The sequence below is a fragment of the Homo sapiens genome, chromosome 17 (assembly GCF_000001405.40).
Source record: "Homo sapiens chromosome 17, GRCh38.p14 Primary Assembly".
Classification (NCBI taxonomy): Eukaryota; Metazoa; Chordata; class Mammalia; order Primates; family Hominidae; genus Homo; species Homo sapiens.
Window position 1 is genome coordinate 21,184,197 of NC_000017.11, and position 12,257 is coordinate 21,196,453.

General features: G+C 47.5%; 1 protein-coding gene across 12 annotated transcripts in view; it reads left to right on the forward strand.

Moving 5' to 3' along the window:
• The window catches only part of DHRS7B (dehydrogenase/reductase 7B), a 64,457-nt gene extending 57,233 nt beyond the window's left edge, over positions 1-7,224 (forward strand). For 8 of the 12 annotated variants that reach the window (XM_047435722.1, NM_015510.5, NM_001393657.1 and 5 more), the window contains 3 exons: positions 175-267; positions 4,515-4,667; positions 6,752-7,224. In XM_047435722.1, the coding sequence (XP_047291678.1) occupies positions 175-267; positions 4,515-4,667; positions 6,752-6,957 (452 nt within the window). In that variant the 3' untranslated portion in view covers positions 6,958-7,224. The remainder of the gene's footprint in view (positions 1-174; positions 268-4,514; positions 4,668-6,751) is intronic. The other 4 variants (XM_011523786.3, XM_024450685.2, XM_047435725.1 and 1 more) reach the window with 2 other exon arrangements.
• Positions 7,225-12,257: the final 5,033 nt, after the last annotated feature.

Sequence of the window (12,257 nt, forward strand, 5' to 3'; positions counted from 1 at the left end):
GGCACTCTGCTGGGCATAGGAGGCTGGAAGTTCCAACATAGTCCTCTACCCTAAGGGGTTTTCACCATTCTCCCTCATTCTGACTAAATATCAAAAGCAAGGTCGCCTTCCATCAGCATCGGGTGCAATGACTGGAAGTAGGGCGCTTGCCTAAGCCTCTGCATCTGTCCTCAGCACTCCTGCCCTCCATGATCAAGAGGAGGCAAGGCCACATTGTCGCCATCAGCAGCATCCAGGGCAAGATGAGCATTCCTTTTCGATCAGCATGTGAGTACTTCTCTCTCCCACAAAATGCTTGGCTTTATTGTTTTTTCCTGATTATAAAAATAACACATTTACTATCTAGAATTTAGACATTGTAGAAATAAACTATCCAGAATGCAAAGGCACTTGAGAATGTGTTCTCCAGAGCCACATGCCTGGGATCAAATCCCAGCTCTACTTTCTGTCCCCTGTGTGACCTTGGGCAAGTATCCCCACTTCTCTGTGCCCTGCCCTCAAGTGTAAATGGAGACAGCCTCAGTCTTAGCCCGGAGGACTGCTGTGAGCGCTGTGCTTGGAGCTGCCCCAGACACTAAGCACTAGGCATGTGCTAGCCACTCCTACTGTTAAGATTTTTAGCTTGTCCCACAGATATAACCATGCCATCACTTTGGGGCATATGCTTCCACAGTTTTTTCTACGTATAATTCAAACATGCAAAAATGGAATGGCATTATTCATATTGCTTTGTGGCTTGTTAATCTCACTTAATGTATCTTTCTACATCAGCATGTATGGATTTACCTCATCCTTTCAATACAGTAATCCATTGAATGAGTGTGACATAATTGATTTAGCCATTTTCCTGGACACTTGAGGATTTTTTTTCCCCCTCAGTCTTTGACCATTAGCAGCAGTGTGCTGTGTAGAACATTCTCAAATATTTATATCTCTGGGCACTCAAATGGGAAGGTTTCAATAAAAAGGGTTTTAAGGTAATTTCACAAACTGTCCTTTCTTTGCATCATCTCCCGAAAGGAAATACTGCCTATACCAGCCTCATCTCCTCTCAGCCACCCAAGGGCTAGACCCAGCCACAGCCTGGTCAGCAAAGGCAGGGAAATCTGAGCTGCTGCAGCACTTTGCAAGGGCAGCCCCAAACATCCAGTTCCATGACACTATAGGGCCAGCTGTGAACTGAGAGTGTAACACAGTTTATTCTTTCTTCCAAGATCTGGATCCCAGCTCTACCTTTTGGTTCTGGTTGTATTTTCTTGGACACATTACTTAACTATTCTGATCCTGTTTCCTTACATATTAGTGAGATTTACAATCATCATACATGCTTGTACATGCATGATTTCCCTGTTTGTTAATATTCTCTTTCAGCTTTGGATAGGACAGCCATCTAAGGCTTCTCAAATGGTTCAGGAAAAAACAATTATATATAGAATCATCAATGATAAAGCAAATGAGTTAAAATGTTAATAATAGGTAAATCAGGGTAAAGAGGTTTTTTTTTTTTGGAAACAGAGTTTCACTCTTCTCGCCCAGGCTAGAGTGCAGTAGTGCGATCTCGGCTCACTACAACCTCCGCCTCCCGGGTTCAAGCGATTCTTCTGCCTCAGCCTCCTGAGTAGCTGAGATTATAGGCGTGTACCAGCACACCTGGCTAACTTTTGTATTTTTAGTAGACACAGGGTTTCACCATGTTGGCCAGGCTGGTCTCAAACTCCTGACCTCAAGTGATCCGCCCACCTCAGCCTCCCAAAGCGTTGAGATTACAGGCATGAGCCACCGCGCCCAGCTGGAGTTCTTTATACTAAATTATTTTCAAGTTTTACTTTGATTTATAATAATACCACTGATTTTTGTTGTCTGGCCTGCTGACTGCAGTAAGGCATACAATGGTTGGTCTCCGTATTCAGTTTTATAATGACCAGGCTGAATATGGAGTGCCTCTTGGGCAAGTTGGTTAACTCAGATAAGTAGTGGCCTTCTCACCTATAAAATGAGGAGAACGGCATTTTCTCTGTCACACTGCTAAAGTAAAGACCAAGTCACGTGGTCCACAGTGTCCTTAGTACTGGGCCTCACACTGGCAGGGTAAGTGATGTGGCCAGCGGCGAGGTCAGCACAGCCTGGCTGAGAACTCACAGCCTGAGAGCTCTGGGGAGACCCAGCTGTCAGAGTGTAGCCTTCTGTTTTGGGGACTTACATGATAACCCACTCTTCCCTGTCCCCAAGCCTGGGCTGTACTCTTGGAATCATGGCTGATAGGAGCAGTCCTCTCCATCCACCCACAGCCAACTCATCCAGCCCCCAGCAACTGTGCCCCAAACCAATGGAGCAGGCCCAGCAAGGCACTGCAGCAAGCTCAGACACTGCTGAACTGCCTCATGTGACTTGCTGCGACACTTCCTTTCTTTCTGTCTTCCTGTTTCCTTAGCTGACGGATGCCCCTTCTTTCCTAAGGCTAAAACATTTACAATTCTGAATTGGAGGAAACTGATTTACTGTGGAGACGCTGGTGTGTTTCCCAGGAATGTCATTATAGGGTCACTGTGTTCCCATTCAGAGCACCTTTTACCGGGTTGTGAAGCCCTTGCTCGAGAGCAGGCACAGCTCTGTTTCTTGCAGGTGGAGTAAGCTCTATAGCTCTTCTAGATGAAAAGCCACTGCCTGGACATTTGTCAAAATGAGACATAAGAAGGCAGGTTTGGATTTTTTACACCCATGAAGGCCCACTGATGGGGCCAATTCTGTCACTTGGTAACTCACTGGGGAGGACTAGGCAGCCACAGCTACATGGCAGGTCTGCAGGGCCAGCATGGGAGCTGTCCAACCTGCCACCAGGTGAAGAAAGCTACTTGCAGGAACAGTAGAATAGGTAAGAGTTCATTTCTGTATTAAAAGATATATATATATATATATAAAATATATAAAATGTGTAAAATCACATGAATATACGTAGAATATATTTTTAAAAAATCACTGGGCATGGCTGCTTACTCCTGTAATCCCACCAGCACTTTGGGAGGGTGAAGTGGGAGGATTGCTTGAGGCCAGGAAGTCGAGGCTGCAAGGAGCTATGATCCTATGATCATAGCTCTACTCCAGCCTGGGTAACAGAGAAGATGCCTTCTCTAAAAAAACAAAACAGAAGGCCGGGTGCGGTGGCTCACGCCTGTAATCCCAGCACTCTGGGAGGCTGAGGTCGGTGCATCACGAGGTCAGTAGATCCAGACCATCCTGGCTAACATAGTGAAACCCCGTCTCTACTAAAAAATACAAAAAAGTAGCCGGGCGTGGTGGCGGGTGCCTGTAGTCCCAGCTACTCGGGAGGCTGAGGGAGAAGAACGGTGTGAACCCGGGAGGCGGAGTTTGCAGTGAGCCAAGATCGTGCCACTGCACTCCAGCACTCCCGCCTGGGTGGCAGAGCGAGACTCTGTCTCAAAAAAAAAAAAAAAAAGGAAAAAAAAGAAAACCAAAATAGAATTAAACAAAAATTCTGGGAAACTGTTAGCACTGATTATCTCTAGGAATGGAATTTGGAAGACAGGAGGACTTTCTTTTTTTGTACTTTCTGTCCTTTAATGTACTATTTGAATGTTTTACCCAGTAGTCATTCAGTTTTTTTTGTTTTTAACTTTTATTTATTTATTTATTTATTTATTTATTTATTTTTGAGATGGAGTCTCGCTCTGTCGCCCAGGCTGGAGTGCAGTGGCGCGATCTCCGCTCACTGCAAGCTCCACCTCCTGGGTTCACACCATTCTCCTGCCTCAGCCTCCCGTGTAGCTGGGACTACAGGCACCCGCCACCAAGCCTGGCTAATTTTTTTTGTATATTTAGTAGAGACGGGGTTTCATCGTGTTAGCTAGGATGGTCTCGATCTCCTGACCTCGTGATCCGCTCACCTTGGCCTCCCAAAGTGCTGGGATTACAGGTGTGAGCCACCGCGCCCAGCTTAACTTTTAACTTGGAATAACTTCAGACTTAAAGTTGCAGGAACAGCACAAATTACTCCCATGCACCCTTCATGCAGATTCCCTGTTAACCTTTTACCTTATTTCCTTTATCTTATTCTCTCTCTCTGTGTATATGCATATATACCGTTTATAATATATATAAAACTATATGTGTATATAATTTATAATTTTTTTCCTGAACCATTTGAAAGGAAACTGGAGACATGATGCTCATTTATTCCTATTTCAGTTTGTTTCCTAAGAACAAGGGCACAGTACACTTCTCAAAGTCAGGAAATGAACATTGTTATAATACTGTAATCTTAAATAATAAAACCAGGTTTTAAAGCTGGGCACAGTGGCCCACGCTTGCAGTCCCAGCTGAGGCAGGAGGATCACTTGAGCTCAGGAGCTGGAGTCCAGCCTAAGCAACATAGCAAGACGATCACAAATAAAACCAGGTTTTCAAAACAGAGAGCGTGAATGGTAGTGAATAGTTGGGCACCAGGCCATGCCCACCCCAGCGCACTCAGTCACCTGCCTCTCCGTCCACATGTGTAGATGCAGCCTCCAAGCACGCAACCCAGGCTTTCTTTGACTGTCTGCGTGCCGAGATGGAACAGTATGAAATTGAGGTGACCGTCATCAGCCCCGGCTACATCCACACCAACCTCTCTGTAAATGCCATCACCGCGGATGGATCTAGGTATGGAGGTGAGGCCCGGTTTCTCTTTTCTCCTATGAAAATCTGTCGGTCAGCCACAGTGAGACATGCTGCTCTTACTTCAGTGATTCTTTGGTCATTTTCATTTGGAAGAGAACTTTTAAAGTGAAAAAAACTTGACAGAGGTGTTGGTTCTAGATATGGACTATTGAATAATCTTCTTTTACCCCACCATGGCCTACCCTTAGTGTGAACGTCACCATTGCAGCATTCAGAACAGGACCTCTGTGGGCAGGACTCAAGGGCTAAAAGGAAGTTGCCAAGCTGAAATGCCAACAGACTTCCAACTAACCCATTCGCAGATCCCGAGTCCAAGGAGTATTATCGGCATCGGGATTGAGTGAATTGACCTCATGGCAAGTGTAGGGTGTTTGATGGTCTGTCTCTGTCCCATAGGCTTGAGAAATGACTGATTCAGGGCCAGTCTTCAGGATGAGGCCGAGTGCAGCAGTCTCAGCACCTTCATCTTGTCTCATTTGGAGACAGTGCAGAGCTGACCTGCAGTCACCACTCGCGGGCAGAGCAGCTGGCCCCAGCATGCAGGCTCAGGCCAAGCAGAGACCAGTGTGCCCATGATCACTGGAGCCCTTGGAGCTGGTGCTGCCTCCCCATGCTTGGAACAGGGCCTGCTCACCCCTCCAGTGCTGTCCTGCCATGTCCTCCTCCCTGAAGTGAGCTCTTGGGGTTTGTGCTGTGATGTCTGCCAGGGGCCTCATGGTCCTGCGCCCGGCCCAGCCAGGCCTGAACCAAGACTGCCCATGTCCTGGCAGCAGCTGCTCTCTCACACAGCAAGTCTTGTTTTCCCCACAGTAGACTCTATACAGAGGCATGGGGCTTCATACAGCTTTACACCTGTTTATACCTAGAAGATACCACTTAAAAAATTATCTCTGCGGCATTTAAAAATAAGCTGTAATCCAAAACTTCCTACTTTTCTGCATTAACAAAAACACAGAACAGACATTGGTGAGGGAGCTCAGGCAATCTGGACAACTTAAGAGTGGTTTCATATGGCTAGGCACTGTGGTCAACACCTGAAATCTCAGCACTTTGGGAGGTCAAGTCAGGAGGATCACTTCAGCCTAGGAGTTTGAGACCAGTTTGGGCAATAGTGCAAGACCTAACCTCCACAAAAAATACGAAAATTAGCCAACCATGGTGGCACCACCTGTAGTCTAGCTACTCAGGAGGCTGAGGCAGGAGGATTGCTTGAGCCCAGGAGGTCGAGGCTGCAGTAAGCCATGATTGTGCCACTGCACTCCAGCCTGGGCAACAGAGCGAAACCCTGTCTTTAAAAAAAAAAAAAAAGTGGTTTCACATGGTCTGTGCTAGTGGCCGCTCCTGTGTGCCTGCCAGCTGGTCCTACTTTGCGGGCAAAATTGTCAAATTACTAGGGTAGAAGGAACATCAGTTGCCGTTAATCTAACACTGCCTCCTAATCTCTCCCAGCTGTTCCTTCTAACACCTAAAACAAACTAAGGACTTCTTCCTGTTTCTCATCCAATTAATACTTGACATCGAGAACAGGGACATCTGTCTGCTCCTGACTCAGTGAGCTTGTGCATATGGGGGTCAATAGTCCCCACCCACCTCTGTCTGGCCATCCTGAAGCCAAGCTACCCAAGATAAATGAGGTGGCACAACATCCCTTAGTCTTTGGTTGTTCTAATAGGCACACGTTTCCCAGGTCAGGAAGCTGCTTTTCAGGTGCGGTGTGAGGGGGTCACTCTGAAGCCCCCACCCCGGGCTGGCCCTGTGCCTTTGCTGTGGAGCACCAGGCAGACAGACTCACTTTGGTTCCAAGCCCTAACTGGGATCCTCAGTCTACCTTGTTTCCACATCCCACCCACCTCTCGCTTCCCCCACTGACCCACATCCAGCTGCAAAATGGTTCCCTCTTTCCTTGGAGCATGGAATCATCAGGGATGGTGGCACACCACTGGCTTCCTGGCCCTGGGAAGAGCTTCATGGTGGGAAAGGCAGCAGGCTGACCTGACGACTCACATCAGCTCCACTCCTCAAGAGGGACCTCTGCTTCCAAGTTCATGTGTTTCTTTTGTTTTATTTATTTTAGTTATGGACACCACCACAGCCCAGGGCCGAAGCCCTGTGGAGGTGGCCCAGGATGTTCTTGCTGCTGTGGGGAAGAAGAAGAAAGATGTGATCCTGGCTGACTTACTGCCTTCCTTGGCTGTTTATCTTCGAACTCTGGCTCCTGGGCTCTTCTTCAGCCTCATGGCCTCCAGGGCCAGAAAAGAGCGGAAATCCAAGAACTCCTAGTACTCTGACCAGCCAGGGCCAGGGCAGAGAAGCAGCACTCTTAGGCTTGCTTACTCTACAAGGGACAGTTGCATTTGTTGAGACTTTAATGGAGATTTGTCTCACAAGTGGGAAAGACTGAAGAAACACATCTCGTGCAGATCTGCTGGCAGAGGACAATCAAAAACGACAACAAGCTTCTTCCCAGGGTGAGGGGAAACACTTAAGGAATAAATATGGAGCTGGGGTTTAACACTAAAAACTAGAAATAAACATCTCAAACAGTAAGAGTTGTAGTCTTCCAGGACTAGAACCTTGTGTCCTTTGAATTCTCGCCCTGCCAGCTCCTAGAAATAGTTTCAATCTTGGAATCAGATGTTATGTCACCTGACCCAGTTGTTTCTGTATTTGACTTAAACCTCATTGTTGTGGCAGAAAGACCACCTCCAGTACTGAGGGGAGAAAGTTGTAGTTTCAAGAAGTCAGCAGTCACGCCCATTTCCAGGTCCCTATGATATCTCATCCAACTTAAAACGTGGGCCAGTATGTAATGGCTTATTTGGTGTATCCCAAGGGATGCCTGCTTTAGCACCTCATAGGAATTCCTGTTTCTCTCTTAACTCTCACCACATCCCTGTAGGATGCCAGGCACCACTCCAAGCAGAAGGTGAACTTACTAAAGAGAGAGCAGCCAAAAGGGAGAGGAGGACCCTGCGTGGCCCCGTGCATCCTCTAGAAGTGAAACCATTAAATTGGCCAGCTGGGCAGACTCTACAGCAGCCCCTGGTCTGGTGGAAGTGAGCCATTTGTTAGCTCTAACTAGTTGGATCATAGCCAGAAAGAATGCCTGTTTCTGCCTTTCTGATTTATTAAAAATACATTGTTGAGGCTCACTGAATAGGTCAAGTTCATTTCTAGTGTTTAGGAGGAAACTTTTCCTATTATTGAAACTGAAAATTGAAATGTAGGTCCACTGTAGACTTCCCCAAATTGGATTACAAATCTCCTAGCACATCATACCGACATCTTGCACCACATCCCAACTCTGGCGTCGTTGAGCCTATATTTTATGACCATTATATAACATGGTCAGCAACATGTTATTTTTTTAAATTTTATTTATTTATTTTTTTTGAGACGGAGTCTCGCTGTGTCACCCAGGCTGGAGTGCAGTGGCACAATCTCGGCTCACTGCAACCTCTGCCTCCCGGGTTCAAGCAATTCTCCTGCCTCGGCCTCCCGAGTAGGTGGGACTACAGGCACGCGCCACCACACCCAGCTATTTTTTGTATTTTTAGTAGAGATGGGGGTTTCACCGTGTTGGCCAGGCTGGTCTCAATCTCTTGACCTCGTGATCTGCCTGTCTCGGCCTCCCAAAGCGCTGGGATTACAGGTGTGAGCCACCGTGCCTGGCCTGAGCTTGTATTTTAAACAGCTGCCCTAGACAGATGATAAAAATGGCCACAGCCAGTCTTTGGTTAGGGTGTCAGAGGGTTTCAGGTTTCCTGGTTGGTAGGAGGACAAATGGGTGATTAGATCTGGTGACTTGTCCCAGCTCCTAACACTTCCTGGACGTTCCAGGAGCCTCTGGGTAAAATGTGGACACAGATGTGATGGGTCGTTCTTCATTTTCCAGGTAAATTGTCAACCTCCCTCCTGACATGGAAGAGAAGGGTCTCCTTAGTGTTCACACTGGAGACAGTAGACCCAGGCAAGAGCTGGAACTGAGACAGCAGCAGCACCTGTCTAAAGCTCAGCCCGAGTCTAAGGTTGAATGAAAGTGCCGAGCACACAGCAGGTTTCCAGGAAATGGCAGCAATGAAGGGCGCTCTCCCTTTAGATGGAAATGAGAGGACATTTCTCCTTGGATGCTGTTGGCTGCCACACTCAGAGACACCTGGTGTCCAGGTGCTGTCCTTTCCTCTCCATTATATAACATGGTTAGCAACTGGAGGTTGATGTGATAGGCTGCCCTCAAAGGAATGCAGGTTTACCAACTGTGTACTCCGTCATCAGAAGATGGGAACATCACATATGTTGCTGAGGTTTTTGGTTTTGGGGCCGTTGTGTTCTGACTCACAGCTGGGGTGCATGGAGCTTGGGCTAGCATTAAAGAGTGCTTAACCTACATACCACCTGTAAGCTGTAATTGGTTGGATGGCAGCCAGAACAAACACCTGCTTTCACGTTTTTTTTTCTTTTTTGTTTTTTTTTTTTGAGACGGCCTTGGCCTCCCAAAATGCTGGGATTACAGGTGTGAACCACCGTGCCCAGCCTCTCTTTCTTTTTCATTTTTTTTGAGACAGAGTCTCGCTCTCTTGCCCAGCTAGAGTGCAGTGGCATGATCTCTGCTCAATACAAGCTCCGCCTCCCGGGTTCATGCCATTCTCTCGCCTCAGCCTCCTACAGGCGCCCGCCACCACGCCCAGCTAATTTTTTGTATTTTTAGTAGAGATGCGGTTTCACCATGTTAGCCAGGATAGCCTTGATCTCCTGACCTCGTGATCCGCCTGCCTCAGCCTCCCAAAGTGCTGGGATTACAGGCGTGAGCCACCGCACCTGGCCTCTTTTTTGAGATGGGAGTTTCGCTCTTGTCACCCAGGCTGGAGTGCAATGGCGTGATCTCAGCTCACTGCAACTGCCACCTCCTGTGATTCACCTTCAAGTGATTCTCCTGCCTCAGTCTCCCGAGTAGCTGGTACAGGTGTGTGCCACCATGCCTGGCTACCACCTTTCTAATTTATTAAAAATACATGGTTGAGGCTTACTGAGTAGGTCAAGTTCATTTCTAAAGTTTATTTCCTCCCAATTAAAGTGGTTAGCAACTGGATATTGACGTGCTAGACCAGCCAGATGTCAATATTATTGGTTGTTTACTTACCCAACATTCTAAAAACCTCAAATCACTTTCTAAAACTTAACTTTATAAACTTTATAATTTTGCCATATAAATAGAAACTAACACAAACTGAAGAATTATTAAAATCTAGCTAAATAAAGCTGTTTGCCAAAGGCAGAGTCTGAGGCCCACTGTTCTTGAGGAGGAGGTTGGCAAGTCCCAGAGGGGACCTGTTAAAGTCACACCAACACCAGACAGACGCTCTTCTTGGCCTCAGAGGCTGAGGACTAAAAGGGCCTGCAGCTGTGCTCTTTCATGTCCGTGTTGCTCCTACAGTTGTCTTGGGTCGCTGGAGTTCAGTGTCCCTTCCTGGAGACAGCAATGGTTTGGATAATGTGAGACTTAGCCTTTAGAATTGTCCCAACGTAGCAGCTGAAGTGACTTCCTGTGGGTGAGCCCCACGTGCATTGCTCCAAAGCAAGAAGCCCAGCCACAGCCCGGTTCAGCTGATGGCCTTTGAGCAACCTTCATTGCTCTTGGATTTTCAAACCAGTGTTTGAATATGGACGTTTGCCAGCAGGGTTAGCGATGCTGCCATTCCACTTTCTCTTTTCTGTCTTTAGAGGGTTTTTGCCCCTTTCTCTTTCATCCTTAAATTCTGCTGGGGAGGTCTAAAAAGCACGATTTTTATTTGGTTCTGCCTTCAGGTATCTGATGAAGTTCAAAGACACTTTCCACTTTGCTCTTTAAGCCCCTTGGTGTTTCACATCATGCCAAAACCAGAGACGGAAAAATAAAACCAATTAGCTTTTCCAAACAGCAGCATCTCCATGCAGTGTAGAGGGGCCACAGCCGATTAGTGAATCGAAGAAAATAGTGTACAGCCCTGGGCACCCTGCCCACCTCCCAGCAAGTCTCCCTTCCTTCCCTCAGGGCCCAGCAGCTGCTGCACCAGATGTGAAAACTCTGGAGGCAGCTGACAGACTGGAACGGGGAGATCCAGTTTGATCAGTTGTCCTTTTACATAACAGCTCTTCGCTCTTCTCTGAAATTGGGTGGGGATGGGTAGCTAAAACTAATTTACTAGATTAATGACACAATCTATTCCCTAAAGTGGTCCATGTAGGACTCATTTAAGTGGATTTTGCACAGGAGGGCCCTGGTAACTTGGTCTTTGCTTTTTCTTGGCAGTTACCGAATGCTGTTTAAAAAAAAGAAAAAAAAATTGGCCAGGCGCGGCAGCTCACGCCTGTAATCCCAGCACTTTGGGAGGCCGAGGCAGGTGGCTGAGGCCGGGAGTTCAATACCAGCCTAGCCAGCATGGCAAAACCCCATCTCTACGTGGTGACGGGCACCTGTAATCTCAGCTACTCGGGAGGCTGAGGCAGGAGAATTGCTTGAACCTGGGAGGCGGAAGCTGCAGTGAGCCGAGATCGCGCCATTGCACTGCAGCCTGGGCAACAGAGAGACTCCATCTCAAAAAAAAAAATTATTTTTTGGAGACAGGGTCACACTCTGTTGCCCAGGCTGAAGTGCAGTGGTAAGATCACAGCTCACTGCATTCTCAACCTCTCAGGCTTGAATGATCCTCCCTCCTCAGACTCCTGAGTAGCTGAGACCACATTTGCGTACCACCACATCTGGCTAATTTTTGTCTTTTTTTGTAGAGACAGGTCTTGTTATGTTGCCCAGACTGGTCTTCAACTCTTGGACTCAAGTGTTTAATGGTCCTCCTGCCTCAGCCTCCCAACGTGCTGGGATTACAGGCATGAGCTACTGCACTCAGCCTTCAAATGCTATTTCTTGAGAAGTACTGTCGCATATCACAGATGACCATAAGCAACTTGTCAGCAGCTCTGCCATGACTGATCATCTAGCAAGGACAATGGCAGGAACAGAGAAGTCAGCACTGACAGTGGGAAGGGAGGCACATTTCTTGCTGCCAGCCTCAGGCACACGAAACCCCTGCCTGCAGTCCACACCAGCACCTCATCCCCATCTCCCTGGCCAGGGGCCATGTAACTAAGATGGCATTTCAGAATCTAGGTTAATACATCCAATAAGAATCACTTGGTTCAGTGCAGCTTGGGAAATGGTAGAAGAGCTACCCATTTGCAGCTGGATTCTACCTCGGGGGAGGGCTCCTGCTCAGCTGACTTGAGGTTGCCTCGACTTGTCTGGCTTGTCCAGCTTGTGCCTTCTAGTCAATTCCCCCATGAAATCTAACTTGTTGGCAGAGCACTTCCAGGCCAGGTATGGGGCTCCCTTTCCAAACCTGGGCATTATTAAGAAAAAAAAAAACCAAAAACCTGCCCAGCAGGCTCAGATGCCAGCACTCAGACACCTGAGGGGTCATGGGCAGCTGCATTTCAACTCACACTGCTGTCGAGATGAGGCATGTTTTTACGGGATCAGTTGTGTGGCTAAGGCAGTTCCCTCTTTACCATTATTCCAGGTGCCCAGAGACTGCCACGTAAACAGT